This window comes from Homo sapiens, chromosome 4 (assembly GCF_000001405.40).
Source record: "Homo sapiens chromosome 4, GRCh38.p14 Primary Assembly".
Classification (NCBI taxonomy): domain Eukaryota; kingdom Metazoa; phylum Chordata; class Mammalia; order Primates; family Hominidae; genus Homo; species Homo sapiens.
The window spans coordinates 2,824,595-2,851,340 of NC_000004.12; the positions used below are offsets into that span (position 1 = coordinate 2,824,595).

General features: G+C 52.6%; 2 protein-coding genes across 21 annotated transcripts in view, besides 11 other annotated features; both read left to right on the forward strand.

The window, feature by feature from the left end:
- Positions 1-16,502, forward strand: part of SH3BP2 (SH3 domain binding protein 2) — a 48,012-nt gene extending 31,510 nt beyond the window's left edge. For all 4 annotated transcript variants that reach the window (NM_001122681.2, NM_001145855.2, NM_001145856.2 and 1 more), the window contains exons 4-13: positions 19-136; positions 532-602; positions 2,636-2,724; positions 3,012-3,080; positions 4,899-5,553; positions 6,977-7,085; positions 7,329-7,384; positions 7,737-7,818; positions 8,396-8,455; positions 9,103-16,502. In NM_001122681.2, coding sequence (NP_001116153.1) covers positions 19-136; positions 532-602; positions 2,636-2,724; positions 3,012-3,080; positions 4,899-5,553; positions 6,977-7,085; positions 7,329-7,384; positions 7,737-7,818; positions 8,396-8,455; positions 9,103-9,240 — 1,447 coding nt within the window. In that variant the 3' untranslated portion in view covers positions 9,241-16,502. The remainder of the gene's footprint in view (positions 1-18; positions 137-531; positions 603-2,635; positions 2,725-3,011; positions 3,081-4,898; positions 5,554-6,976; positions 7,086-7,328; positions 7,385-7,736; positions 7,819-8,395; positions 8,456-9,102) is intronic.
- Positions 1,355-2,241: an enhancer, noted in NCBI's record as "H3K4me1 hESC enhancer chr4:2827676-2828562 (GRCh37/hg19 assembly coordinates)". NCBI's record gives its function as "activates a minimal SCP1, AML or CMV promoter by ChIP-STARR-seq in primed H9 embryonic stem cells {active_cell/tissue: H9 hESC(primed)}" and the evidence as "EXISTENCE:reporter gene assay evidence [ECO:0000049][PMID:30033119]".
- Positions 2,242-3,127: an enhancer, noted in NCBI's record as "H3K4me1 hESC enhancer chr4:2828563-2829448 (GRCh37/hg19 assembly coordinates)". NCBI's record gives its function as "activates a minimal SCP1, AML or CMV promoter by ChIP-STARR-seq in primed H9 embryonic stem cells {active_cell/tissue: H9 hESC(primed)}" and the evidence as "EXISTENCE:reporter gene assay evidence [ECO:0000049][PMID:30033119]".
- Positions 10,555-10,634: an enhancer, noted in NCBI's record as "active region_21192". NCBI's record gives its function as "activates an Ori minimal core promoter by ATAC-STARR-seq in GM12878 lymphoblastoid cells {active_cell/tissue: GM12878}" and the evidence as "EXISTENCE:reporter gene assay evidence [ECO:0000049][PMID:35858748]".
- Positions 10,895-10,944: an enhancer, noted in NCBI's record as "active region_21193". NCBI's record gives its function as "activates an Ori minimal core promoter by ATAC-STARR-seq in GM12878 lymphoblastoid cells {active_cell/tissue: GM12878}" and the evidence as "EXISTENCE:reporter gene assay evidence [ECO:0000049][PMID:35858748]".
- Positions 12,610-13,607: an enhancer, noted in NCBI's record as "H3K4me1 hESC enhancer chr4:2838931-2839928 (GRCh37/hg19 assembly coordinates)". NCBI's record gives its function as "activates a minimal SCP1, AML or CMV promoter by ChIP-STARR-seq in naive H9 embryonic stem cells {active_cell/tissue: H9 hESC(naive)}" and the evidence as "EXISTENCE:reporter gene assay evidence [ECO:0000049][PMID:30033119]".
- Positions 13,560-13,749: an enhancer, noted in NCBI's record as "active region_21194". NCBI's record gives its function as "activates an Ori minimal core promoter by ATAC-STARR-seq in GM12878 lymphoblastoid cells {active_cell/tissue: GM12878}" and the evidence as "EXISTENCE:reporter gene assay evidence [ECO:0000049][PMID:35858748]".
- Positions 18,022-18,533: an enhancer, noted in NCBI's record as "NANOG-H3K27ac hESC enhancer chr4:2844343-2844854 (GRCh37/hg19 assembly coordinates)". NCBI's record gives its function as "activates a minimal SCP1, AML or CMV promoter by ChIP-STARR-seq in naive H9 embryonic stem cells {active_cell/tissue: H9 hESC(naive)}" and the evidence as "EXISTENCE:reporter gene assay evidence [ECO:0000049][PMID:30033119]".
- Positions 18,662-18,711: a silencer, noted in NCBI's record as "silent region_15187". NCBI's record gives its function as "represses an Ori minimal core promoter by ATAC-STARR-seq in GM12878 lymphoblastoid cells {active_cell/tissue: GM12878}" and the evidence as "EXISTENCE:reporter gene assay evidence [ECO:0000049][PMID:35858748]".
- Positions 18,812-19,191: a silencer, noted in NCBI's record as "silent region_15188". NCBI's record gives its function as "represses an Ori minimal core promoter by ATAC-STARR-seq in GM12878 lymphoblastoid cells {active_cell/tissue: GM12878}" and the evidence as "EXISTENCE:reporter gene assay evidence [ECO:0000049][PMID:35858748]".
- Positions 19,250-26,746, forward strand: part of ADD1 (adducin 1) — an 86,219-nt gene continuing 78,722 nt past the window's right edge. For 10 of the 17 annotated variants that reach the window (NM_001354757.2, NM_001354754.2, NM_001354762.2 and 7 more), the window contains exon 1: positions 19,250-19,430. The gene's annotated coding sequence lies outside the window, so the exon portion shown is untranslated. Of the gene's footprint in view, positions 19,431-19,555; positions 20,241-26,746 lie in introns of those variants that run through there. The other 7 variants (XM_047449581.1, XM_047449579.1, XM_047449582.1 and 4 more) reach the window with 2 other exon arrangements.
- Positions 19,252-19,441: a silencer, noted in NCBI's record as "silent region_15189". NCBI's record gives its function as "represses an Ori minimal core promoter by ATAC-STARR-seq in GM12878 lymphoblastoid cells {active_cell/tissue: GM12878}" and the evidence as "EXISTENCE:reporter gene assay evidence [ECO:0000049][PMID:35858748]".
- Positions 19,562-19,711: a silencer, noted in NCBI's record as "silent region_15190". NCBI's record gives its function as "represses an Ori minimal core promoter by ATAC-STARR-seq in GM12878 lymphoblastoid cells {active_cell/tissue: GM12878}" and the evidence as "EXISTENCE:reporter gene assay evidence [ECO:0000049][PMID:35858748]".

Genomic DNA, 26,746 nt, shown 5'->3' on the forward strand with positions numbered 1-26,746 from the left:
CTGGCGCTGTGCCCCCAGGGTGATGCGGGCGGCTGAGGAGACCACGTCCAACAACGTTTTCCCCTTCAAGATCATCCATATCAGCAAGAAGCACCGCACGTGGTTCTTCTCGGCCTCCTCCGAGGAGGAGCGCAAGGTGACTGGGGGTCCGAGGACGAGTGCAAGGTGACTGGGGGTGTGGGCCTGCAGGCACCAGGCTGGACCTGCCTTGGGGGCTCGCTGGTCCTGGGGCGCTGGCCTCTCAGCCCCGGGCAAAGAGAAGGTGTGGCTGGGACACAGGCAGCTGGGTGGGTGCTGCCCCAGCTCCATCCCCATGCCCAGAGCCTGGTGCCAGCGCCCACACAAGGAACATGCTGTCCTGGGAGGTGCCCCTGTGGGCTGAGGGGAGCCACACAGCCATGTTGTATCCAGCCGGGTCGCCTCCTCTGACCTTGGGAGTCACAGCAGAGCAGGCAGGGCAGTGAAGGTGGAGGGGTGCGGTGGGGCCCACCCTGGTGGCACCGTGCCCACCACAGCCCCGCTGACCTGCAGAGCTGGATGGCCTTGCTGCGCAGGGAGATTGGCCACTTCCACGAAAAGAAAGACCTGCCCTTGGACACCAGGTGAGCCCGGGCCCAGGGCATACCGGGCAGTGAGGGTCCCTGGGGCGCCTGGGCCTGACCCGGGTGTCCGCCTCCCAGCCCCGGGCTTGGCATAGAATTCCGTCCTTAAAGGTTTCCTGGAGGTGCCAGCTGGGCTGCGTCTCTCTGCTCCTGTCTACAGATAAACACAGATACAGGACAAGCACAGATGTTCACACACAGACGAGCGACACGCGGACACGCACACACAAACACAAGCAACACGCGGACATGCACACACACAGAGCAACACGTGGACATGCGCACACACACAGAGCAACACGTGGACATGCACACACACACAGCAACACGTGGACATGCACACACACACAGCAACACGCAGACATGCACACACAAACACAGAGCAACACACAGACATGCACACACACACAGAGCATGCACAGGTGTGCATGCATCTCTCTGCTCCTGTCTACCTCCAGCCCCATCTGTCACATCTGTTTCTGTGTTGCCGCCATGGGTAGTTCCTGTTAGGGGATCATGTGTGTTTATACGCCTGCCACCAGGGAGGCCTGGCATGGCAGCAGCTGGGCACTTTGGGTTCCCAGCCCCCTACGCCCACCCTGGCTCACTCAGAGTGAGACCAGAATGATTCTCCTGGCGGGGCGCCACTGGGCAGTCTGAGCCTTGGCAGCCTCCCCCGTGAGCTGGCCCGACGTGCAGCAGATACTCTCTGGATTGGGACTTCCTGGCCCGAGACGATGTGGAGGGAACAAACCTTCCTGTCCTTTCACAGGTGGGGACAGGAGGCCCAGGGAGGGCTGGGCACAGCCAAGGCTGCCCTGCAGGTCCCTGCCTGACTCCGGGCTCCCGTCCCCTGGTCCAAGCTGTTCAGCCTCGGGCCCAGCCCAGAGTCGCCCAAGCCCTCTTGAGGCAGGAGCAGGTGGAGACGTGGGCACAGTCAGGGCGGCCATCCTTGTGGGCCAGAAGGGGCACCTAGTGGAGGCACCACAGCCTCCAGTTCTTCTGTCTGTCCTTGTAACTGTGTGTGCATGTCCGCGTGTTGCTCCGTGTGTGTGCATGTCCGCGTGTTGCTCTGTGTGTGTGCATGTCCGCGTGTTGCTCTGTGTGTGTGTGTGCAATGTCCACGTGTTGCTCTGTGTTTGTGTGTGCATGTCTGCGTGTTGCTCTGTGTTTGTGTGTGCATGTCCGCGTGTTGCTCTGTGTGTGTGCATGTCCACGTGTTGCTCTGTGTTTGTGTGTGCATGTCCGCGTGTTGCTCTGTGTGTGTGCATGTCCGCGTGTTGCTGTTTGTGTGTGCATGTCTGCGTGTTGCTCTGTGTGTGTGTGCATGTCCGCGTGTTGCTCTGTGTGTGTGTGTGTGCATGTCTGCATGTTGCTCTGTGTGTGTGTGCATGTCTGTGTGTTGCTCTGTGTTTGTGTGTGCATGTCTGCGTGTTGCTCTGTGTGTGTGTGCATGTCCACGTGTTGCTCTGTGTGTGTGCATGTCCTCATGTTGCTCTGTGTGTGTGTGCATGTCCGCATGTTGCTCTGTGTGTGTGCATGTCCGCGTGTTGCTTGTGTTTGTGTGTGCGTGTCCGTGTGTCGCTCGTCTGTGTGTGAACATGTGTGCTTGTCCTGTATCTGTGTTTATCTGTATACTTCCATGTCTGTGTGACAGAGTCCTTGTGTCTGTGTGTCTACATGTCTGCGCGTGTCCCTGTGTCTTTGTGTATATATATCCATGCCTGTGTGCCTGTGTTCCTGCGTGTGCTTGTGTGTGCACGTGTGCATTTGTGTGTTTGTCAGAGTATGTGTGCATGTGTGTGTCTGTCAGCGTATCCATGTGTGCATGTGTGTGTCTGTCAGCGTATCCGTGTGTGCATGTGTGTGTCTGTCAGCTTAACCATGTGTGCATGTGTTTGTCAGTGTATCCGTGTGTGCATCTGTGTATCTGTCCATGTATCCGCGTGTGCCTGTGTGTACCTTTGTGTGAGCATCAAGGGACCTCCCAGGCCTGGTGCTCACCGTCCGCCCCAACGCACCCTGCATTGCAGCGACTCCAGCTCGGACACAGACAGCTTCTACGGCGCAGTTGAGCGGCCTGTGGATATCAGCCTTTCCCCGTACCCCACGGACAATGAAGGTGAGGTCTTTCTCCGCATCCACTGCCCGTTTGCCTCTCCCCACCTGGCCTCCTCTTGGCCGCTGTGGAGGAGAGGGAGGTGTGTTCGGCTGTGCTCCTTGCTCTGGCCCTTTGGCAGTGCGCAGTAGCATCCCTGGGCTCTGGCCTTCAGCGGCAGGGTCTGGACTCACAGTCCTCCCAGCAGGTGCTTGCCCCTTGCCTCCTGGACTCAGCCCCATGCATGGAGCATTGCTCGGAGACTGGGCCTGGGCCGGTTTGGCTCTCACCACCCCCCTCTCCCCATGCAGACTATGAGCACGACGATGAGGATGACTCCTACCTGGAGCCTGACTCCCCGGAGCCCGGAAGGCTTGAGGGTAGGTGGGGCGGGTGGGCCCGGGGAGCTCTGGGTGTGTAGGAAGCAGGGGCTGGGACCGGGAGCAGAGCCCCTCCGAGGCTGGGGATGCTGGCCCAGGTACCGCTCTGGGTGGCTTCCGCTTCCCTGCTGTGTCCCAAGTATTATGAGGATTGGAGCAGAAGAGGTGTAGCTGCTGCCACCTCTGCTCATTTCCTCCTCCCACCTCCCAGGAGGAGGGACAGGCACATGGCGATAAGTGGCAGGTGGAGCCGGGGTGGCCCTGGGGGTTAAGCATGGGGAAGGAAGGACGCTGAGGAGCGCGCAGGCTCAGGGCAGGTCCATGTCCCCATGGCTGCCAGCTTGTGTGGACACTGCTGCAGGCCAGGTCGTTGTCCCACCCCACCCCATCCCATCCCAGTGTCCACCTACCTCCTGCAGCACATGGCCTAGTCAAAGAGACAGGCTGATACAGGTGGTCACACGTGGATGACGGAAGCACGAGCTGGGTGGGGAGGACGTGTCTCTGTCCTCCTCTGTCGCCTCCCTCCCTTCCTCCCTCCCTATTGTCTCTCCAGCCCCCTCATCTTGTCAATTTCCTCATGTCTGGGGCTGATCCTTGATCCTTCCATTTTCCCTGCGTCCGCCCTGCCTCCTTGTTTTCCAGCCTCCTGTTCTCACTGACTTGGCCTCTGCCGACCCCAGCCCCTGACCCCGTATCCTCTCTGCCTCCCATCCACTCCCACCTTCAGGCTCCCGGGTCCAGCCCCTCTTCTCCTGCCGCTCCCTCCCTCCTTCCCTCTGGGGTCCCAGTGCCAACAGTCCTTCAGCCCACGAGGGTCTGCGGGCCGCTTGCCTCAGTTTCCTTCCATGCAGAGCTCTTGTCTCACAGTGTTCACCATGCCTGTCCCTTCGCCCACACACTACTGCCTTCCGTCTTAGCCTGGCTGGCCAAGCCTTGGTGAACTCAGACTCCGTCTGCCCAGCCCTGAGCTGCAGCCCAGTGAGGCTAGAGATGGGCCTGGGGAGCCACCAGTGCTCCTGCATGCTACTGCTCCACTCACCCTCCCTCTGTACCCCCTTCATCCTCTCCCCGAGACATTTCTCGTCCAGGACGCCTGTGGCCTCCCCATTCCCAGTTCCAGCGCTCAGTCCTGAGCCACACCAGCCTGGCGCCTGCCCTGTTCCTTGCCAGCCCGTCCTCCAGGCGCCCCGTGCTCCCGGGGTCCTCTTTCTCCTCAGCTCCTGTGCTGGCCCCATGAGGGATACCCGGGACTCAGACCTCACTCCTCTCCCGAATTCCCTGGGTGACAGCCTGGGTCATCTGCAGGCTGCCCGCTCCGAGTCATGTCCAGCCTGGATTTTTGAACTCTGCACACATTCCCTGACCCCGCATCCCCTGGCATCTCCCAGCTTTCTGGATATGTTCTGAGCAAACACGGGCCTTCACCTTCCTCCCAGCTGCTCCCCTCCCCTGTCCTTGGGAATTCCGTCCTCCCTCTCGCTCCAGCCGAGCCCTGAGATCCTTCTTGACTTCTCTTCCTTTCTCTTCCTTCCACCTCTGGGAACCTGATGGGCTCCTCAGGTGTCCTCTAGGCTTCAGGAAGCGTCCACAGGCTGCCATAGGGAGGATGAATGGGGAAGGCTGGGGGTGGTGGGTGGTCTGGGACCCTGGGGAAGGCAGGATGGGAGTGCTGGGTGCTGGGCTGCTGGGTGGGCAGGCTGTGGGGTGGGCCTACCATGGGTTGCACTCCTGGTTGGCCTGGCTGACCACTGCCAGCAGAGGATAGTGTTGGCCCAGTCTCTGTCAGGGTCCAACCCGGGTCTCTTTGCTCTGCAGATGCCCTGATGCACCCACCGGCTTACCCACCACCCCCAGTGCCCACGCCCAGGAAGCCAGCCTTCTCTGACATGCCCCGGGCCCACTCCTTTACCTCCAAGGGCCCCGGTCCCCTACTGCCACCCCCGCCCCCTAAGCACGGCCTCCCAGATGTTGGCCTGGCTGCTGAGGACTCCAAGAGGGACCCACTGTGCCCGAGGCGGGCTGAGCCTTGCCCCAGGGTACCTGCTACCCCCCGAAGGATGAGCGATCCCCCTCTGAGCACCATGCCCACCGCACCCGGCCTCCGGAAACCCCCTTGCTTCCGGGAGAGTGCCAGCCCCAGCCCGGAGCCCTGGACCCCTGGCCACGGGGCCTGCTCCACTTCCAGTGCTGCCATCATGGCCACTGCCACCTCCAGAAACTGTGACAAACTCAAGTCCTTCCACCTGTCCCCCCGAGGACCACCCACATCTGAGCCCCCACCTGTGCCAGCCAACAAGCCCAAGTTCCTGAAGATAGCTGAAGAGGACCCCCCAAGGGAGGCAGCCATGCCCGGACTCTTTGTGCCCCCCGTGGCTCCCCGGCCTCCTGCGCTGAAGCTGCCAGTGCCTGAGGCCATGGCGCGGCCCGCAGTCCTGCCCAGGCCAGAGAAGCCGCAGCTCCCGCACCTCCAGTGAGTTTGTGTGGCGGCTGCAAGCCCTGCCTCCAGCTACAGGGACCCTGGCCTGGCCTCTGACGGGCACTCTGCCCACCTCGCTCCCCTGGCACTCTTAGCCCACGACGGGGTACCAGGTGCAAGGGTAGGAAGGTTCCCGGTTGCCTCCAGTCCGCCTTGGTGGAACGTGGAGCATGTCCATGACTCAGCCCTGAAGCTTGCTGGAAATGCTTTGTTTTTTTTTCTTTTTGAGACAGGGTCTCACGCTGGCAACCAAGCTGGAGTGCAGTGGTGCGATCTCAGCTCACTGCAACCTCCACCTCCGGGGTTCAGGTGATTCTCCTGCCTCAGCCTCCCAAGTAGCTGGGACTACAGGCACCTGCCAACACGCCCGGCTAATTTTTGTATTTTTAGTAGAGACAGGGGTTTCACTATGTTGGCCAGGTTGGTCTTGAACTCCTGGTCTCAAGTGATCCGCCTGCCTCGGCCTCTCAAAGTGTAGAGATTACGGGCGTGAGCCACCGCGTCCTGCTGAAATGCTTTCTGCTTTATTTCTGGGAAGTGCCAGGAGACCAGTTTGTCCCCCACTCCCACAGAGTTACGCCAATGGCTGTGGTCAAAGGCATCTGGGACCCCAGGTGGGCTTCCTGCCTTGCCTGGCAGGCAAAGGGTCCAGGAACTGGAGGGGCAGGTTTCGCATGGGTGTGCTGGCCGGCACGCGCACCCCCGAATGCCCTTGCCCACGGTGCCCTTCTCCCAGGGCTCTGCGAACACCTCTGAGATGCCTGCTGCCTGTGTGGAAGTGCCTCTGAGCAGCCCTTGTCACACTCGTGGTTCTAGTTCACCAAGGGCTGCAGAGATGCAGATGTTCGGAAGTCACGTTTTTCCATGACTGTGGGGATAGCGGTTCCAGGGCTCAGCCTCACCCACAGGCTGGCCTCCCATGCTGGCGTGGCCCGTTAATCCTCCCTAGAGCCTTTGAGGCTTTGCTGAGCAGGACCGGCTAGCCACACAGGGAGGCGTGCAGGGACGCCATGGGCGTCCTTTGGGGTCACACTGCATTGTTCATCCAGTTCACGTCCACTCCCCTGTGGCTCTGAGTGGGCTGTGATTTGGCCATGACCGGACCTCCCCTCCCCACGAGCATCCAGAGCACTTGTTGACGGTGTGATGACACTGAGCTTGGGAACCCTGGACTCCCTTGCCAGCATCCATGGCAGCCCTGACCCCTGACTCCGGTGTCGGGCGATTCCTGCTGTCCCAGGGCAGTCGGCACGAGCCCTACCCGGATCTCTGTTGTCCTGAGCTTTTTAGGGTCACAGGGGCCATAGCAGGCAGCTTGCCGTCCTCACACAGAGGGTGGAGTGGGGAGGGGAGCAGAGGGTGGCCGCCCCGTGTCTGACAGTGAAATGGTCCTGCCTTCCTCTCCCTGCCCCTCCAGGCGATCACCCCCCGATGGGCAGAGTTTCAGGAGCTTCTCCTTTGAAAAGCCCCGGCAACCCTCACAGGCTGACACTGGCGGGGACGACTCGGACGAGGACTATGAGAAGGCAAGGCTGAGCGGCAAGCCTGGGTCCCAGTGGCCAGTAGGTGGACAGGTGGTGGGAAAGCCATAGGCCAGGGCGGCCCCTCACAGACCGTCCTGAGCAAGGACCCCCCGAGAACCCGGGAGCCTAGGGGGACACAGCACCATGTAAAGCCCCGGATCCCGGCACCGGGTGGCCACCGTCCGGGGAGTGGTGGTGCGGGTGGATCACTCCGACGTTGGCACTGACACCGTCAGCCTCTTGCAGGTGCCACTGCCCAACTCGGTCTTCGTCAACACCACGGAGTCCTGCGAAGTGGAAAGGTCAGCACAAAGCCCTGTGTGTGCTGGGTCCTCCGCCATGCCCGGCTTCCTGCTTCTGTGTCCCTCTCACTAGCTTCCGTGTTGGGGAGTTGCTGGCACAAGTTCATGGCCCTGCGTGCAGCAGAAACCAGAGGAGTGGACCTCCCTGCTCTGTCCCATGCCCAGCTGGCACCCTGGCTGGCCAGGGCTCTGCTGGGCTGCTTCTGTCAGCCTCACGGCAGCCCGACGTGCTCAGCTCCTGAGACCTACAACAGCGAGAGGACAGAAAGCCAGGCTTGGGAGCGGGGCGGGAAGGTCCGTGTGAAAGCTGCCCGAGGAGGACTCACCCGCTAATATGACTGTCTTATTTTAGGTTGTTCAAGGCTACAAGCCCCCGGGGAGAGCCCCAGGATGGACTCTACTGCATCCGGAACTCCTCTACCAAGTCGGGGAAGGTAGGCGCCAGGGGAAGATGCCCCAGGGCCCCTCTGGCTCTCCACACACCCAGGCTGTGGGTGGGCCCAGGACTCCACAGTTCCTAAACCACTCCCCTTGTGGACTCTTACTTGGTGTCTCAGCTGAATTCTCTTCCCAGCAGCACCCCCCAATCTATTCCCTAATAGATCTCCATCTGCAAATTGGGGGCCATGATGGCCACCTCCCAGTGGGGGCCAGGACTCGGGTGGGGTAGGGCTCATGCTCTGGGGTGGCGGAGGCCACATGGGGCAGGGGAACGCCAGGTCTGCCCGTGTCCCTCCGAGCGTGAAGTTGTGACCTCACTGAGCCATGCTCTCCCGGGTGTGTCGGAGTGGTTATTGGTGGTTATGAGCTGTTGCTCATCAGAGGCTCTCTGAGGGCTGCCAGTGTCGCCCCCGCTGTCCTTGTGCAGGTGGTCTGGAGTCCCTCCCCGCCCCCCGAGGGCCACAGGACCCAGCCTTGATGGTTCTGCCCCCCTATCCCCAGCCCATGGTCTCCCGAGGCTGGTCCCGCTGTTTCTCAGGGAGCCGTCAGCCTCCCGCTTCCGTCCTGTAGGTCCTGGTTGTGTGGGACGAAACCTCTAACAAAGTGAGGAACTATCGCATTTTTGAGAAGGTGAGAGGGCTCTGAGTGGGACGGGGACCCTGGCCGCATGGCCTGGCAAGGGGCAGGGCAGAATCTCCCTGATGAGGCATAGGCAGCGGGTAGACTGAGACTGGCACCTCCAGGATACCGCCCTCCCCTTCCCCTCCACCATCGCTCACCCCCCACCCCTCCTGCTCAGCCTCCCTCCTCTCGTGGCCTACCTTTGTCCTCCACTGACCCTAGTGGGGATGGGCGGTCAGCCATAGACCCTGGGTTGCTTGTCTTGTCTTTTTCTTTTTGCGGGGACAGGGGTCTCACTGTCTTTCTCAGGCTGGTTTCAAATTCTGGGGCTCAAGCAATCCTCCCACCTCGGCCTCCCACAGTGCTGGGATTACAGGCGTGGGCCACCGTGCCTGGCCTAGGTTCATTTCCTGACCTTGTCTGAAGTGCTCTGGGTGCAGGCTCCTGGACATGGAGGACGGAGGGGAAGTGAGGTGGGAACATGGAGAGCACAGGCCTGATGCGGAGGCCACCTTGGGGGCACCACCGACAGCCAGGGGCCAGCCTGGTGATGCCGCTGTTGATGCTGCTGCCTTGTTTTACAGACGGGGAGACTGAGGCCTAGAGCCGCAGAGTGGCCTGGCCCTGCTGACGCTCCCCCTTCTCTTCCCCCACAGGACTCTAAGTTCTACCTGGAGGGCGAGGTCCTGTTTGTGAGTGTGGGCAGCATGGTGGAGCACTACCACACCCACGTGCTGCCCAGCCACCAGAGCCTGCTGCTGCGGCACCCCTACGGCTACACTGGGCCTAGGTGATGGCAGTCCATGTGGCTGCCAGGCCAAGGCAGTCACAGGGGCCCTGACCCCAGGCCACACAGACGGACATGGGCCCACATGGGAGGGTGAGCAGGAGCAAGGCTGTGCTTGCCTAGGGCCTCTGTGATGGACATCTCGTAGGACCCAGCCAGTCTCATCCAGCAGGTTGGGTTCTAGGGCTGAACCAGGCGCCAGGCTCCAGAGGACGAAGGGACTCTGTTGCCCCACACTAACTTGCCCTGTCCCAATCCCAGAAACCCAGGACCAAGCTGTGCCTGGGCTCCAAGGACAGGAACACTGGTCCCCCCATCACACTCACCCCTAAGTGGGCTGGGAGCCAGGCAGGGCCAGGGCAGCTGGGTGGGGGCCGGGGCTGGCCCTGGGACCCCCAGGAACGCTAAGACACAGGCTCCAGTAGGGGCTGTTGCCTCCAATAAAGCAGCAGTGAGCTTTGCCTTGGTGGCTGGGGCTTGATTGGGAAGGAGGGGATTACCAGCTTACTGGGTGCCCATGCTGATGTCTAAGTGGTGACCGCAGCAGTACCCGGGAACCCCAACAGTTGGTTGTCTTGTCTTCCAGGGTGCAGGTCACTGAGTGACTTCCCCAGGGTGCACAGCGAGTAACAGATCAGGACCCAAACTTGGGCAGTCTGGGCTGGGAGCCCACACCCCACTCACCAGTTCTGCTGCCTCAGGTCAGGCCAGGGCAGTGCTGCTGCAGAGCTAGAAGGCCCTGCAGCTACAGCTGCTTCATTCCCTGCATTAGTGCCTGGTTACTGGGTACCTCCTGAGTGGCTGTCCCCGTTCCAGAACTTGCATACACTGAGCGGGCTACAGAGCTAGAAGGCCCTGCAGCTACAGCTGCTTCATTCCCTGCATTAGCGAGCAGTTATTGGGTACCTCCTGCATGCCTGGTCCCATTCCAGACAGGGGCCTCTGGCCTGGCTGAGTTCACAGCCCAGTCTGGGGACAGCTGGGTATGAGGTGCTTACGGCACAGTGTCCAGGGCAGCTGGGTGTGCAGGGACTGGGGGCTCCCGGAAGATTTTTTGGAGGAAGTAACAGCTACGATGGGATGGGAACAGTGGACCCTAAGCAGGCCAAGGGTGCGTAGGGACGGTGGTACCCAGATGCCCAAGTCTTCCAGGCAATACCTGGCTCAGGCCCAGCCCCAATCCATCCCCTTACTTTCTGCCATGGAGTTCCAGCAGGTCACTCTCCCTGGCACACCTTCCAGGCTGGATTTTTAATGAAACAGACTCAGGGAGGTAGGGGCTGGCAGGGACCCTAGAATCCTTGTGATTTTTCTTAGCACCTTATGTCAGGGAAACCTAAACTGAGGTCAGCACTTGGGCCCACTGACAGTGACTGACTGGGGGAGAAGGTCCTGCAGCCCCCTTCCCCTGGGTGTGTTCTGGGGACCTGTGGTTTGCTGGCGGAAACAAGTGATGAGGCTGGTTAGCGGATGTGGGAGGCTGTGACCCCAGGGGGCCATAGGGTGCGGTGGAACTGCAGGCCCTGCAGATGACGGCAGCCAGCTGCTTCCAGGAACCAGGTGTCCAAGGCCACCTCTGCAGGGGTTTCCTCTTCAGCCTGCCTGGGGTGAGAGGTCAGTGCACCACAGCCGAGGCTGGAGCACAGGGAGCTTCTGTTGTTCTGATCTATCTCTGGAAAACCAGCCATTCCTCCTCCCTGCAGTCAGAATTCTTTGCCCTGTCTGACCTGAACTTGCTTAGGGAGTCATGCCACTCCCCACTGTGGCCATAGTTTCTCTTCCTGTAAAATTTTATTATTTTAGTTTTTTGTTTTTGAGATGTAGTCTCACCCTGTCGCCCAGGCTGGAGTGCAATGCCGTGATCTCCGCTCACTGCCACCTCCGCCTCTCTAGTTCAAGCGATTTTCCTGCCTCAGCCTCCCGAGTAGCTGGGATTCCAGGCGCCCGCCACCACGCCTGGCTAATTTTTTGTATTTTTAGTAGAGACGGGATTTTATCATGTTGGCCAGGCTGGTCTCGAACTCCTGACCTCAGGTGATCTGCCCACCTTGGCCTCCCAAAGTGCTGGGATTACAGGCATGAGCCACTGTGCCTGGCCCCTTCCTGTAAAATTTTTAAATGGAGAATTGGGTGCGAGATGTGGTTTCCAGCCTGGTGCCTGGGGTGCTGAGCTAGTGAGTGGTGCAGTCCAGGACACCTTTGCTTTATGTCACTTACACGGTCACCTGGAGCCGGCTCAAGTGGCTAAAGCATCCTGGGGCCCAGAGCCAGGTGATAGGTCCCTCTGGCCAACTGGACAGTTGAGGCCTGTGGTTACCCGAAGCCCAGCTGGGGCCCTGGTCCAGCCTCGCCTCCCAGACTCTGCACCTGCTAGCACAGCTGTCCACGTCTGTGTGAGCTGCTCTAGGCCGAGGGCCTCAGTTTCAAGAGTGTGTTGGGGTGGGATGGGGCAGGCCGTGGTCCTCCAGCATGAAGAAGGAGCCATGAGGAGTTCCCATGACCTCCCGAGACTTGCCATAAGTGTTCTAGTCCACATATAAGGGTAGGGTTGGGATTACCATTTACTGACCACATCTGTGAGGTGCCGAGCTGGGTGCTTGACATCATTTGCTTGGAGAAGCAGCTGCTAGTAGACCCATTTTACAGGTGAGAGAACCAAGTCTCACAGAGGCCTGGGTTCAAGTCCCACCTCTGCCACTAACTGGCATGTGACCCTATCTATCCTTCACTGCTCTGAGCCTAGACCCTGGCCCCTGCCTGGCTCCCTGCCAGGCTCCCTGCCACCCCTCACGACCTCTGATGGTCGTTGTGGGGGTCTCTTGCCTGGCTCCCAGGGCTAGGGTTAGGGCTCTGGAGGTGCTTTCACTCAACCAAGGGGGCCACAGCACTGGGGAGTGAAACTGCCCCGCCTCACCCTGCGTTGCCCTCTGGGTCTGTGAGGGTGGGCTGGCAGGAGGCCTAGGCCTTGCCCTAGGGGCAGTCCTGCTTCCTCATTTTATAGATAGGGAAACTGAGGCTTTGGGAGGACTCACTGACATACCTACCTTCAAGATGAGTTCAGGTGGGCTCAGTTCTGGGGCTTGGGAAAAGGGCCCCAGTGGCTTTGGGAAGCACCCCCAGCCCAGGGTGAAACATGCTTCTTCTCTTCCTGTGGTTCCATCCGAAGGATTGTGGTGAGCCCCGTGCCTTCAGTTAATAAAGATTTGTATTGTGAAAAGATTTTTTCTTTTTTTTTTGGGACACAGTCTCACTCTGTCGCCCAGGCTAGAGTGGATTGGCGTGATCTCGGCTCAATGCAAATCTCCAGGGTTCAATCGATTCTCCTGCCTCACCCTCCCATGTAGCTGGGATTACAGCTGCCTGCCAAATTTTTGTATTTTTAGTGGAACCGGGGTTTCACCATGTTGGCCAGGCTGGTCTTGAACTCCTGACCTCAACTGATCCGCCCACCTTGGCCTCCCAAGTGCTGGGATTACAGGCGCGAGCCACGGCGCCCAGCCTTGAAAAGATGTTTTTAGAACCAGAAGAAACCTCGGTTCCCACTGATCCTTCTGGGCCACGTTGTGCGGAGCTCCCCTGCTGGTTGGGGCTCAGCGCAGCCCCAGGGAGGTGCTTCCTGCACCTCAGGATGGGCGAGGGTGGGCATTGGGGGAGAGGGGGACCTGGGACCTGCGGCTTAGTTCCCTGAGGCAGGCAGGGCTTATTGGGGCCATTTCATAGAAAGGCAGATTGAAGCTCAGCAGGGAAGAGGCTTTTGAGGGTGATCCAGGCGCTGGAGGGATGGCCTAGGACACCAGGGTCACACCAGGAACATGGGAGGGCCGTGCTTGTCTCTAGACGAGGGGAATGGGGGAAGGGCCACAACCTCTGTTTCTGTGACCCAGCAGCATCAAGCCCCTCGCTGGGCACCTCGCACACACCCCCTGCCTTATCTCTGCCTGCACGCCCTGTTCCCTCCACCTAGACTGCCTGCTGAGGGGGCAGTGCCAGGAGGTTGCCTGTCCTTGGGGAAGAGGGGCAGTGACCCTGTGAAGATGCTTGACAGACAACCCCCACCACCTCAGAAGTGTGTGTGAGTGGTGAACCCTTTTAAGCCATCTTCCAGCCATTCTCACTGGAGGGAGATTTGATGGGTACAGAGCAGACCCCTACCTGTCTACCCTCCTTCGGACCCCTAGGAAGCTTCGCAGGCCTTCCAGGCTGCCAGACAGCTGCCCTGGCGTTGCCGTCTGCTTCTTCCCTGGCCCCACTCTGAGGGGCTCAGAGCTGAGGCAGAATCCCTTTTTCATTCATTTCCTGCAGAATAAAACAACATACAGAAAAGTGAATAAAACATAAATGCACAACCTAACACACTGTTAGGAAGTGAACGATCTGCAACCACCATCAGGAAATAGTTTTGCCAGCACCCAAGTGCCCTCCCCTCACAGTGTCACTTCCGGCCTCTCTGCCCTGGCTTATGTGAGTCTTGTGTTCTTGTTTTTCTAAAAAGTCTTCAGCACCCAATTATGCAGGCATTGCAGTATTTTCCTGTTTCTGTGCTTTATCCCCTTGAATCATACAGATGCAAATTCTGGCAGCTGGCTTCTTTGGCTCGTTATTATGTCTGTGAGATTTATTCATGTTGCTGTGCGTAGTATAGTTTGTGCATGTTCATTGCTAAAAACTTCCATTGTTTGGCTGTATCGTAGTTCACAGATTCATTTCACTGTCAGTCAAGCTTGTCCAATGCATGCAGCCCAGGATGCCTTTGAATGTGGCCCAACACAAATTTGTAAACTTTCTTAAAACATTATAAAGATTTTTGTTTGCGATTTTTTTTTTTAGCTCATCAGCTATAGTTAGTGGTAGTGTATTTTATGCGTGACCCGAGACAGTTCTTCCGGTATGGTCCATGGAAGCCAAAAGATTGGACATGCCTGCTGTAGATGGACAGTTGGTTTGTTTCTAGTTTGGGGTAACTACACACAATGCTGCTAGCAACAGTTTTGTCCATGTCTCTGATGCACGTGTGTTTTTTGCAAATGGTGCACAAATTTTTCTAGGGTTTGTACTCAGGAGTCTGACTCCTGGGTTCTAGGGTATGAAGATCTTTCTAAATATTGTTCTAGTTTACGTGCCCACCAGCAGTAAAACAGAATTCCCTTGCCTTCCCATCCTTGGCAGACATTTCACTTTTGCCAGTCTGGTGGGGTGTATAGTTATGGCCTTAATTTGCATTTAGCTAATTACCAAGGAGATTGAGCATATTTTTATGTTTTTATTAACCATTTTGATTTTGTCTCCTGTGAAGTGTCTATCATCTTTTGCCCATTTTTTAACTTGTTGTCTTTTTCTTTTTCTTTTCTTTTTTTTTTTTTCTGAGACAGGGTCTCACTCTGTTGCCCTGGCTGGAGTGCAGTGGTGCAATCTCAGCTCACTGCAGCCTTGAGTCAGGCTCAGGTGATTCTCTCACCTCAGCCTCCCAAGTAGCTGGGACCACAGGCCCACACCACCAAGCCCAGCTAATTTTTTGTATTTTTAAGTAGAGACGGGTTTCATCATGTTATGCAGGCTGCTCTCAAACTCTTGAGCTCAAGCGATCTGCTGGCCTCAGCCTCCCAAAGTTGGGATTATAGGCGTGAGCTACCAGATTTTTTCTTATTAATCTAATAATTCTTTGTATAGTCTTGATATTATCCATAATGTGTATTGCAAATATCTTCTCTAACTCTGGCTTGACTGTTTATGGTGTCCTTTTTTTTTGGGGGGGGTTTTTTGAGACAAGGTCTTGCTCTGTCACCCAGGCTGGAGTGTTATGGCACAATCTTGGCTTATTGCAGCCTCAATTCCTAGGCTTAAACAGTCCTCCCACCTCAGCCTCCTGAGTAGCCGGAACTACAGTCACGCACTTCCATGTCCAGATAATTTTTTTTTTTTTTTTAGAGATAGGATCTTACTATGCCCCAGCTGGTCTCAAACTCCTAGACTCAATGAGCCTCCCATCTTGACCTCCCAAAGTGCTGGGAGTACAGGCATGAGCCACTGTGCATGCCAGTTCTTATTTTTAATGCAGTTGAATTGATCAGTGTTTTCATTTTGGTTAGTGCTTTTTGTGGCTTAAGAAATTCTTTCCAGGCTGGGTACAGTGGCTCACACCTGTAATGCCAGCACTTTGGGGGCAGAGGCAGGAGGATTACTTGAGCTCAGGAGTTTGAGACCAACCTGGACAACATGGCGAAACACCATCTCTACAAAAAATACAAAAATTAGCTGGACATGGTGGTGCGTGCCTGTAGTCCCAGCTACTCAGGTGGCTGGGGTGAGAGGATTGCTTGAGCCCAGAAGGTCAAGGCTGCAGTGAGCTGTGATTGTGCCACTGCACTTCAGCCTGTGAGACAGAGTGAGACCCTATCTCAAAAAAAACCAAAAAAAAAAAAAAAAAAAAGAAAACCACTGAAATTATTTCCACTCCAAGGTCATGAAGATAGTCTCTTAGATTATATTCTGAAATCCTTATAAATGTAAATTTCATATTTAGGCCTTTAATTCACCTAGATTTGGTTTTTTGCATATGGTGTGAGGTAAGGATTCACTTTCATTTTTTTCTCTCCATAGGGTTACACACCTGTCCTATCATTGTTTGTAATCTAACTTTCTGCGCCCATCTGCAATGCCACCTCTGTCATATGTCCACATATGACATATGTAGATCTGTTGTTGGATTCTTTCCTCTGTTCCATTAGTCTGTCTGTTCTTGTGCCAATATCAAGCTGTCTTCATTATTATCAATTATGTATTGAGATCTGATAAAGTAAGTCTTTTCCACCTTATTTTTCTTCTTTGAGAGTGTCTTGACTATTCTGGCTCTTTGTATTTTCATGTAAGGTTTTTCTCCCATATAAGTTTTAAAATCAGCTTGTCAATTCCAACAACAATGATGCACTTGATAGTTTGGGAATTTATTATAGCTATCAATCAGTTTTGGGAAAATTGACGTCTTTACAATATTGAGTTTTCTGATTCATGAACATGGTTTACCTCTCTTTCCATTTGGGTCTTCTTTAAGGTTTACCAATAGGATTTTATATTTTTGTCCATTGTGGTCTTGCTTATCTTAAGTTTGATTTGTAAATATTTTATGTTTCTTTTAGTCTATTGTAAATTGTGTATTTTTAATTTCATTTTTTTTTTTGTTAATAGCATATAAAACACACCTTGTCTTTTAACTGGAGCATTTTGTCCATTGTGTATTTAATGTAATTAAATCTACCATCTTATTTTATGCTACATATTGTCTCACTTGTGTTTGTGTTTTCTTCCTCCCTTTTCTCTCCTTTTCCCCTTCTTTGAGATTGAGCAACTTAAAACAAATCATTTCATTTCCCCCCTTCTCCTAGTTAGAAAGTTAAACACTCTCTATTCTTACTGAAGTCTAGAGTTAACTAATAAATACTTTTATCCTCCTCCTGGACAACATAAGGACCTCAGGTGACTTTCATTGGTCTCCCTCATTACTTGATATTATTGTTGTATATATCTAATTCTAACTCAATGTATTTTAAAACTCTCACCTAAGACCGTATTTGTTTTTTTGTTTTTTTTTTTTTGGAGGCAGAGTCTCTGTCACCCAGGCTGGAGTGCAGTGGCGCCATCTTGGCTCATTGCAACCTCCATCTCCTGGGTTCAAGCAATTCTTGTGCCTCAGCCTCCTGAGTAGCTGGAATTACAGGTGCCTGCCACCAGACCCAGCTAATTTCTTGTATTTTTAGTAGAGACAGTGTTCTGCCATGTTGTCCATGTTGATCTCTTAACTCCTGAGCTCAGGCAATCCTCCCGCCTTGGCCTCCCAAATTGCTAGGATTACAGGCAAGAGCCACCACGCCTGGACCTTTTTACTTTTTTGTAGTTGGAAAAGGAAGGAATATTTTAATAGCTTTAAAATTGTTTTATTATGATAAAATTTTCATATTATAAAGTTTATCATTTTAATTATTTTAAAGTGTACAGTTCTGTGGCTTTGCGAATATTCATATTATTGTTCAGTCATCACCACCATCCATCTCCAGAACTTTTTCATCACCCCAAGCTTAAACTCTGTACCCATTAAACACTAAATCCCCATTCCTCCAGCCCTTTGCAACCACCATTCTACCTCCTGTCTCTCTGAATTTGACTACTCTAGACACCTCATACAAGTGGAATCATACATTTATCTTTTTGTGATTGGGTTATTTCACATAGCATGTCTTCAGTGTTCATCCATGTTGTAGCATGCGTCAGAATTTCCTTTCTTTTGGCCAGGCATCGTGGTTTATGGGTTTATGCCTGTAATCCCAGCACTTTGGGAGGCTGAGTTTGGATTTGGGAAGATTGCTTGAGCCTAGGAGTTTGAGACCAGCCCTGGCAACATAGTGAGATCCCGTCTCTACAAAAAATAACAAAAATTAGCCAGGCATGTTGGCACGTGCTGGTAGTCCCAGCTACTTGGGAGGCTGAGGCAGGAGGATCCCTTGAGCCTAGGAGGTCAAGGCTGCAGTGAGCCATGGTTGCAACACTGCACTGCAGCCTGGGCGACAGAGACCCTGACTCCAAAAAAAAAAAAAAAAAAAAAAAAAAGGCACAAAACCCCAATAAATAGAATTTCCTTCTCTGCATAATGCTGCTATGAACATGGTACAAATAGCTGTTTTCATTTCTTTGGGGTATATATCCAGAAGTGGAATTGCTGGATTATGTGGTAATTATGTTTAATTTTTTGAGGAACCACTCTACGGTTTTCCACAGCAGCCACACCATTTTACATTCCCGTCAGCGATGCACAAAGGGTTCCAATTTCTCCGCATCTTTGCCAACACTTATTTTCTTTTTTTCCTCTTCTTCCTCCTTCTCCCCCCTTGAAACTTTTTGTTTTCTTCTCGTTTTTGTAGAGAACAGGGTCTCCTTATGTTGTCCAGTCAAGTCTGCCAACTCCTGGGCTCAGGCTATCCTCCTGTTTCTGCCTCCCTAAGTGCTGGGATTTTAGGCTGAAGCCACTGCGCCCAACTCCCTGCTTCTTCAACTGCCATCCTAATGAATGTTAAGTGGTATCCCACAGTGGTTTTGATTTGCGTTTCCCTAGTGATTAACTATGGGAAGCAGAAGTGAATGAGACAGAATTGTGATCTTGTCAGAAAAATCGTCTTGGAAAAGCCAACGTCCAACAGAAATGGTTAGAACAGGGGTCGCTGGCTTCCATCCAGACAGTATCCCTGACCCTTGTTGGGGCAATGTCACAGAGGCTCCTGCTGAGCAGGGAGGTCTGGATTCCACACTCTTCTGCCACTGCCCAGCTCTGGACCTAAGCTTTCTATGGGTGTCAAGAGGACAAGCAGCCGTGCCCATTTGTCTCGCTGCTTGTTTTTTTGGGTGTCAGATGCGCCAGCAGGAGGGACAGTGTGCGGGAAGGTGCTGGTCTGAGGCTGGTCCTGCCAAAGCCCCGCAGGCTCACTCCCTGGTCGTGCGGAGGTGGCTGGTGCTCGCTGGTCTCCTCAGCACCCGCAGGCCGGGCCCGGGGGCCAGGCAGTTGTCCTCTGTGGAGCCTTATCGGGGCCCACAGGCCCTGCTGCCTTGACCCCACCCGGGCCCCAAAACTCGGCCTGGGGACTGCACAAGGCGGGGCTACGCGGGGCAGGGCCCGTCTGCTGGGGGAGTGCGCTGGGCGGCGGCGGGAGGGCAGGGTCCCTGGGCTCCGACAGCCCCTCCGGCGGAGGTCAATCACAATGAAACCGTGTCCAGCGGACCCGGCAGGGGCTCGCCGCAGTCTACCTGGCCACCGTGAAGCCATGACCTGGCGCCCGAAGCTGCCGGCCGGGGTGTACTCCGCGCGGGACCCTGGGCCTCCGCAGGCCCCGGCGGGGTCGCCCCGAGGCGGGCCTGGCGAGTCCAATCGCCCTGCCCGCAGGGGACCCGCCCCTCATGGGTCCCGCCAATCGCAGGGTACGTTGCTCGGCAGTGCTGCGCGGCTTGGCCTATGGGACGGCGCGTTGTTGGGCTGCAGCGCCGCAGGCCGCACCCAGGTCGGGCGGTGGGGGCGAGCGGAGGGGCTGAGGGGCGGAGAGGCCTGGCGGGCCGCTGCTGCGGGCCAGGGGACGGGGGCGGAGCCGGAGCCGGAGCCGACGGGCGGTGGCCGCACTGGGACCCCGGAATCCCGCGCGCTGCCCACGATTCGCTTCTGAGGTGAGGCTAGCTAGCGGGGGCGGCGGGGGCCCGGTTCGGGCTGAGGCGGCGGCGGGGGCGCGGGGAACTGGGCCGCGGTTGCGGCGGGCGGGGGCCGCGGGGCCTGCGGCGGCCCGGGCAGCCTCGGGGGCGGGGAGGCCGCTGCGGCGCCGAGGGCGTCTTGGAGGGGTCCCCGCGGGGCCTTCGGCCTGGGCCGAGCCGGGGAGCGAGGGCGCCGCAGATCTTTCATCGGGATAGGACCCCGGGGACTAGGCTTTTCCCGGGCCGCTCGTTCCTGGCCGGCTTGTGGGCTGCAGGGGTGGGGGCGGAGGAGGACGACCCTGGCTGGACGCTGGTCAGCATCCTGCTTGTGAGACCGGTTCCGCGGTCCGCAGCGCTGGTGGCTGCAAGGTTTGTGTACGGACGCATCTGTCGGCTCTCGTATTTAAAAACGACGGCTTCTGCCAAAAGAGAAAAGCCATATCTGCCGACGGACGCTCGAGAGATAATCGTGGAACTTTATCAGCGATGGGGCTGTTGGTCACCTTTGCCCTCCCTCTCTTTTCTTTTTTCTTAATCTTTTATTTTCGTTTTTTGGGAGATGTCAGAGGGCCTTTCCCTGTTAGGATGACTTTTATCTTTGCTCTTGTAATGGCTCAAGATAGTTGGGAGGTAATTTGCATTCACTTTATGCATACCCACCTTGAAAAACGTATTTTGGTTCGCCTGAAACTGTTGTTGGTTTGAGCATAATTTATGTTTAGAAAGACAAAAAGCAATTGTCATATCTCCAAAGACCAAAGACATAGCTGATAGCTGTATGCATTACTGGTAAGTTAAAGAAAGATTTTTTGTGTGAAAAATTGACTGAGATCTTAATGGGGATAGGAAATAGAATGCTGATAGGTCGACTGTGTCTATGAGTAGAGGCGCCTAGTGAAAACAAGCTTGGAGTGGATGAGTAGGAGTTCAACAGGCACCAGAGAGAGGAGGGCATTTCAGGCAGAGGGTGTGAATTGTATGAAAGTGAGTTTGTAAACTTTGGAGCCTTGAATGGACAAAGGCCCGCGATGATACCTTTTTTTTTTGAGACGGAGTCTCGCTCTGTCGCCAGGCTGGAGTACAGTGGCGCGATCTCCAGTCACTGCAATCTCCGCCTCCCAGGTTCAAGCAATTCTCCTACCTCAGCCTCCCGAGTAGCTGGGACTACAGGCGCGCGCCACCACGCCCAGCTAATTTTTGTATTTTTAGTAGAGACGGGGTTTCACCATGTTGGCCAGGATGGTCTCAGTCTCTTGACCTCGTGATCCGTCCGCCTAGGCCTCCAAAAGTGCTGGGATTACAGGCGTGAGCCACCGCGCCTGGCCTACGTTAAAATTTTAATATACTCCTTTGATTTTGACAGTGGAGAAAACTAGAATAGTAAAGTTGTCTTTTCAGGAAGTGGATGATTTGGGCAGTCAAAACTGCTTTTCAGAGTTTCGATGTGGTTTACAATGGTATGGACAGCTGGTATGATTTGTTAGTTTTCTACTTGTGGTGTCTTTAGGTTTTAAAGTTTCGGAGAGTCGCTGAGTGATGTGAGTCTAAACTCTAGCCAGTCCCCGAATTGTGAGATAGTTTTCCTTCTAAAATATACTTCGTACAAGCTGGTCATTTTTCCCCTTAATTCTTTTGATGTTATCTGATATACTGAGAAGGTTTTGTTTGGTGTTCAGTTTTGTGTTACTGATTTTGCCATAAAAACTGTTTATTTACATGATTTTTAGTTTTTAGTTCTTATAGTCTTTGAATTGAATAAGAAAAGTAAATACTGAAATGCTTTGAAAGATAACAAAATATTTACTTATTGCTTGAAACTTAGAGTTAGATTGACTGCCCTTCCTTTCTTTCCTTCCATGTTTACCTCTTAACATATACACATATGTAGAGAGAATAGTATAAACCCCTTTTCTCAACCAGTTTCAACAGTCAATCTTGCTTCATCATATCCCCGCAGTCCTAGATATCCTTTAACCGTTAAATAGTTCAATATGTATATCTTAAAGACTTAAACAAAAGGTAAACATGAGTACCACTATCACAGAAAATGAATAATTCCTTAATACTTTCAAATATCCAGCCAGTGTTAAAATTGTCAGAATTCTCATTTTTTTTCTTAACAATTTCAATCGATCCACATGCTATCTATACAGTGTGACTCATTTTAATTGATAGTTTCCCCTCCATATTTAGTTTTCTCTTGTAATTTATTTATGGATGAAACCTGGTAGTTTGTCATGTGGAGTTATGCACAGTCTCAATTTTACTCTGTGGCATAGTTTCACAGAATTTACTGAAAACTGGTGGTTAGATCTAAAGGTATGATCAGATTCAGCTTTACTTTTGTCAAGCAAACTTCTTAGGTAAGTAGGCAGAAATGATTAGTAGTCTTTGTTCGCAGCCCTTGATTGTCAGTGCCTACAGTCATTTCAGCAAGCATTGAATATATTGATATTTGAATTCTATAACTTCTTTTATTAAATAGAATATTTTTATAAAGATAATTTTTCATGCCTCCACTATTTGGTTATCTTGAGGTATCTCTTACAGAAAAGGGAGGATAAATGCTTAATTCTTCTCCATTATTTACTAGGTTTCACATAATGAATTGTTTCGCTAATATCCTTCAAAAGTAGCCAATGAAGCTGGGCATGCTAGGATGGGCCTGTAATCGTAGCTGCTCCTGAGGCTAAGATGGTACGAACCTGTGAGCCTGGGAGGTCGAGGCTACAGTGAGCCATGATCACTTCACTGCACTACTCTGTCTCTTTAAAAAAAAAAAAAAAAAAAAGCCGAGCGTGGTGGCTCACACCTGTAATCCCAGCACTTTGGGAGGCCGAGGCGGGCGGATCATGAGGTCAGGAGATCGAGACCATCCTGGCTAACATGGTGAAATCCCGTCTCTACTAAAAACGCAAAAAATTAGCTGGGCGTGGTGGCGGATGCCTGTAGTCCCAGCTACTCGGGAGGCTGAGGCAGGAGAATGGCGTGAACCCGGGAGGCGGAGCTTGCAGTGAGTGGAGATCGCTCCGTTGCACTGTAGCCTGGGCGACACGGAGCGAGACTCCGTCTCAAAAAAACAAAAACAAAAACAAAAAACAAGCTAGGTGCGGTCGCTCACAATCCCGGCACTTTGGGAGGCTGAGGCAGGTGGATCGCCTGAGGTCAGGAGTTTGAGACCAGCCTGGACAACAGTGAAACCTCATCTCTACTAAAAATACAAAAATTAGCTGGGCATGGTGGTGCATGCCTGTAATCCCCACTACTAGGGAGGCTGAGGCAGGAGAATCGCTTGAACCCAGGAGGCGGAGGTCGCAGTGCCATTGCACTCCATTCTGGGCAACAAAAGCGAAACTCCGTCTCAAAAAAAAAAAGGAAGTAAGACTAGGATTCTACTCAACCTTCTCATTTTTATATACCTGTATCTACTTTTCTTCTAAGCCAAACATTTTGGTTCTACTTGCTCACTGTTTCAACCCACACCGTACACATTTCAGTCTCAGAACAAGATGAACACGTGAACCTCGAAAATTTGAGACAGGTCTCGGTTAACTTAGAAAGTTTATTTTGCTAGTGTTGAGAATGTGTGCCTGTGACACAGCCTCCAGAAGTCCTGATTGACATGTGCCCAAGGTGGTTGGGCACAGCTTGGTTTTATACATTTTAAGGAGACATGAGACATCAATCAATATATGCTAGAAGTACATTGGTTCAGTCCAGAACGGCGGGGACAGCTTGAAGCAGGGAGGGAGCTTCCAGGTCACAAGTAGGTGAGAGACAAATGGTTGCCTTCTTTTGAGTTTCTGATAAGCCTTTCCTAAGGAGGCAACCAGATATGCATCTATCTCAGTGAGCAAAGGGATGACTTTGAATAGAGTGGGAGGCAAGGCTGGGCATGGTGGCTCACGTCTGTAATCCCAGCACTTTGGGAGGCCGAGGCAGGTGGATCACCTGAGATCAGGAGTTCGAGGCCAGCCTGGCCAGCATGATGAAACCCTGTCTCTACTAAAAATACAAAAATTAGTCAGGCTTGGTGGTGGATGCCTGTAATCCCAGGTACTCAAGAGGCTGAGGCGGGAGAATCACTTGAACCCAGGAGGCGGAGGTTACAGTGAGTTGAGATCGTGCCATTGCATTCCAGCCTGGGACAGAGTGAGACTCCGTCTCAAAAAAAAAAAAAAATAGGAATCTTAACATAGCATAATATTAAACTTTAATAGAGTTGTTTAATTGTTAATGCTTATTCTGGCCTTTCTACATTGAGGAACCTTGAGTTTAAAGGAATGAGGGGAAGCACATTTAATACAGTTTGCCTTTTGAGCTTAATTTTTCTAGAAGTACCTTTTTAAACAGTTGTTATAACTAATGTGTAACACTGTTTTTGATAACTGTCAGCTTAAACATGTTGAGCATATATTTATTTAATTAATTTATTTTTTTTGAGACAGACTCTTGCTCTGTCACCTAGGCGGGAATATAGTGATGTGATCATAGTTTGCCGCAGCCTTGAACTCCTGGGCTTAAGCCATTCTCCCACCTCTGACTCTGAAGTAGCTAAGACTGCAGGTTCATGCCAACAGGCTTGGCTAATTTTTTTTTTTTTTTGAGATAAGGTTTCAAAAGCCTGAGCTGTGTTGCTCAGGCTGGTCTTGAATTCCTGGTCTCAAGTGATCCTCCTGTCTCAGCCTCTGAATATGCTAGGATAACAGGCATGAGTCACTGCACCTGACCTGTTTCCAGGTTTTTACTGTTATAAGCAGTGCTCCAATTAATATTACATCTCCATATTGGGCACTTATGAGGTACATCTATAAATACATTCTCAGAAATGAAATTGCTATGTCAAAGAATAATTGCACTTTTCATTTGCATAGACATTTCCAAATTACCCTCCTGGCCCCAATTAATATTCTTACATTTCCATCTTTGGGCACCTATGAAGTATATCTATAGATACATTCTCAGAAGTGAGATTGCCATGTCAAAGAGTAATTACACTTTTACTTTCCGTAGATGTTTCCAGATTATCCTCCTAAGAAGTTACGTTGGTTTATACTCCTACCAACTGTGTATTTTCTCCACATAATTAAGTATGGACACTAAAGTAACAATAGTCCCTATCTTACATGGTTATTGTGAGGATTAAATGAAGTAAATGCCAAAAGGTACCTACTAAGCTGTCAGCAAATGACTTATATTATTAATATAATTATTGTTTTTTTCTGAACTTTATTACCAGAAATATTATAAACCTAGACAGTGCTTCATGAGGTTGGGAAAGAGGGTTCATACAATTGATCTGAGCAATATATGCCTCCAAAATACTGTTATCTGTATTAGAACAGACGAGCTCTGCATCTAGGCCTTGGGCCCAGGGAGTCTGGCATCTGGGGCTGACGTTAGGGGACAGAGTCCACAGGTATATCTCAAATTTGCTGGAAAGGGCATGCCTCAGGAATGGGGCGCAGTAGATGTAACTACATGTGTGCCTCTGCAGCCTGGAATGGCAGCTGTGGCTGTTTGCATGGGGAGGAGAAAGTCATCATTTGGGAGGGACCTTTAGAATATCCCATCCCAAACACTTCTCTCCTTCTCTTACTCTGAAGGGCTTAATTTAAATTTGCTTTGTGGATTAACGTATTGAGAATGATTTAGGGAGTTCCTTACCTAAAAAATGTTTTCCCTCATCTGCACACTGTCGCTTGAAATTTATTTCACAGGAGAGGGAGCCGTAACCATAGGCAGTGTGGTATTATGAAAGGAGTACTGGCTCTTCACTATGGGTTTACTGTGGTTTGCTGAGGGTAGTTGAGTGGGTGAGAAAGTCACTTAGCTGCCCCAAGCCTCACTTTTCTCCATCGGAAAATTAAGTAGCCATGTAATACATGAAAGAGAGAATGTTGTGAAAACACTTTGAGAATGCAAAGGCCAAGTGAAAACATATGTCCGTACAAAAGCTTGTGTGTGAATGTTCAGAGCAGCATTATGTTTAACAGACAAAAAGTGAAACACCCCAGATGTCCATCAGCTAATGAGTGGATCAACAAAATGTGGTCTGTTCATACGATGGAATAGTAGTTGGCAATAGAAAGGATTGAAGCACTCATACCTGGTACAACATGGATGAACTCTGAAAACATGCTAAGTGGAAGAAGCCAGACACAAGAGACCATGTGCTTCATGATTTTACTTATGTGAAATGTCTTCAATAGGCAAATCTTTTTGTTTTTTGTTTTTTGTGAGACTGAATCTCACTCTCTTGCCCAGGCTGGAGTGCAGTGGTGCGATCTTGGCTCACTGCAACCTCCACCTCCCAAGTTCAAGCGATTCTCCTGCCTCAGCCTCCTGAGTAGCTGGGAACAGGTGTGTGCCACCATGCCCGGCTGATTTTTTTTTCTGAGACGGTGTCTTGCTCTGTCGCCCAGGCTGGAGTGCAGTGGCACGATCTTGGCTCACTGCAAGCTCTGCCTCCCGGGTTCACGCCATTCTCCTGCCTCAGCCTCCTGAGTAGCTGGGACTACAGGCGCCTGCCACCATGCCCGGCTAATTTTTTGTATTTTTAGTAGAGATGGGGTTTCACCGTGTTAGCCAGGATGGTCTCAATCTCCTGACCTCATGATCCGCCCGCCTCGGCCTCCCAAAGTGCTGGGATTACAGGCGTGAGCCACCGCGCCTGGCCACGCCCGGCTAATTTTTATATTTGTAGTAGAGATGGGGTTTCACCACGTTGCCCAGGCTGGTCTTGAACTCCTGACCTCAAGTGACCCACCCGCCTCGGCCTCCCAAAGTGCTGGGATTACAGGTGTGAGCCACTGTACCTGACCCCCAGTAGGCAAATCTATACAGGCAGAAGGTAGATTTGGGGTTGACTGGGGCTCCAGCTGGGGAGAATGGAGTGGGAATGAGGAATGACTGCTAATGTGTATGGGGTTTCTTTTTGGGTGTTGAAAATGTTATAACGTTAGATTGTGATGATTAGTTACACAACTCTGAATACACTAAAACTCTGTATACTTCATTTAGAGACAGTCTTGCTCTATTGTTCAGGTTGGGGAACAGTGGTATAATCATAGCTGACTGTAACCTGGAACTCCTGGGCTCAAGTAATCCTCCCCACCTCAGCCTCCGGAATAGCTAGGACTACTGGTGCATACCACCACAGCTGGCTAATTTTTAAAAATGTTGCCACTCAAGATGTGTGGCCCTGGATCAAAATGGTGAAATTCTCTGAACTAATTTTTCTCATCTGCAGAAATAGGAGTAATAATAATAACAGTCATATCTAACTGGAGGTG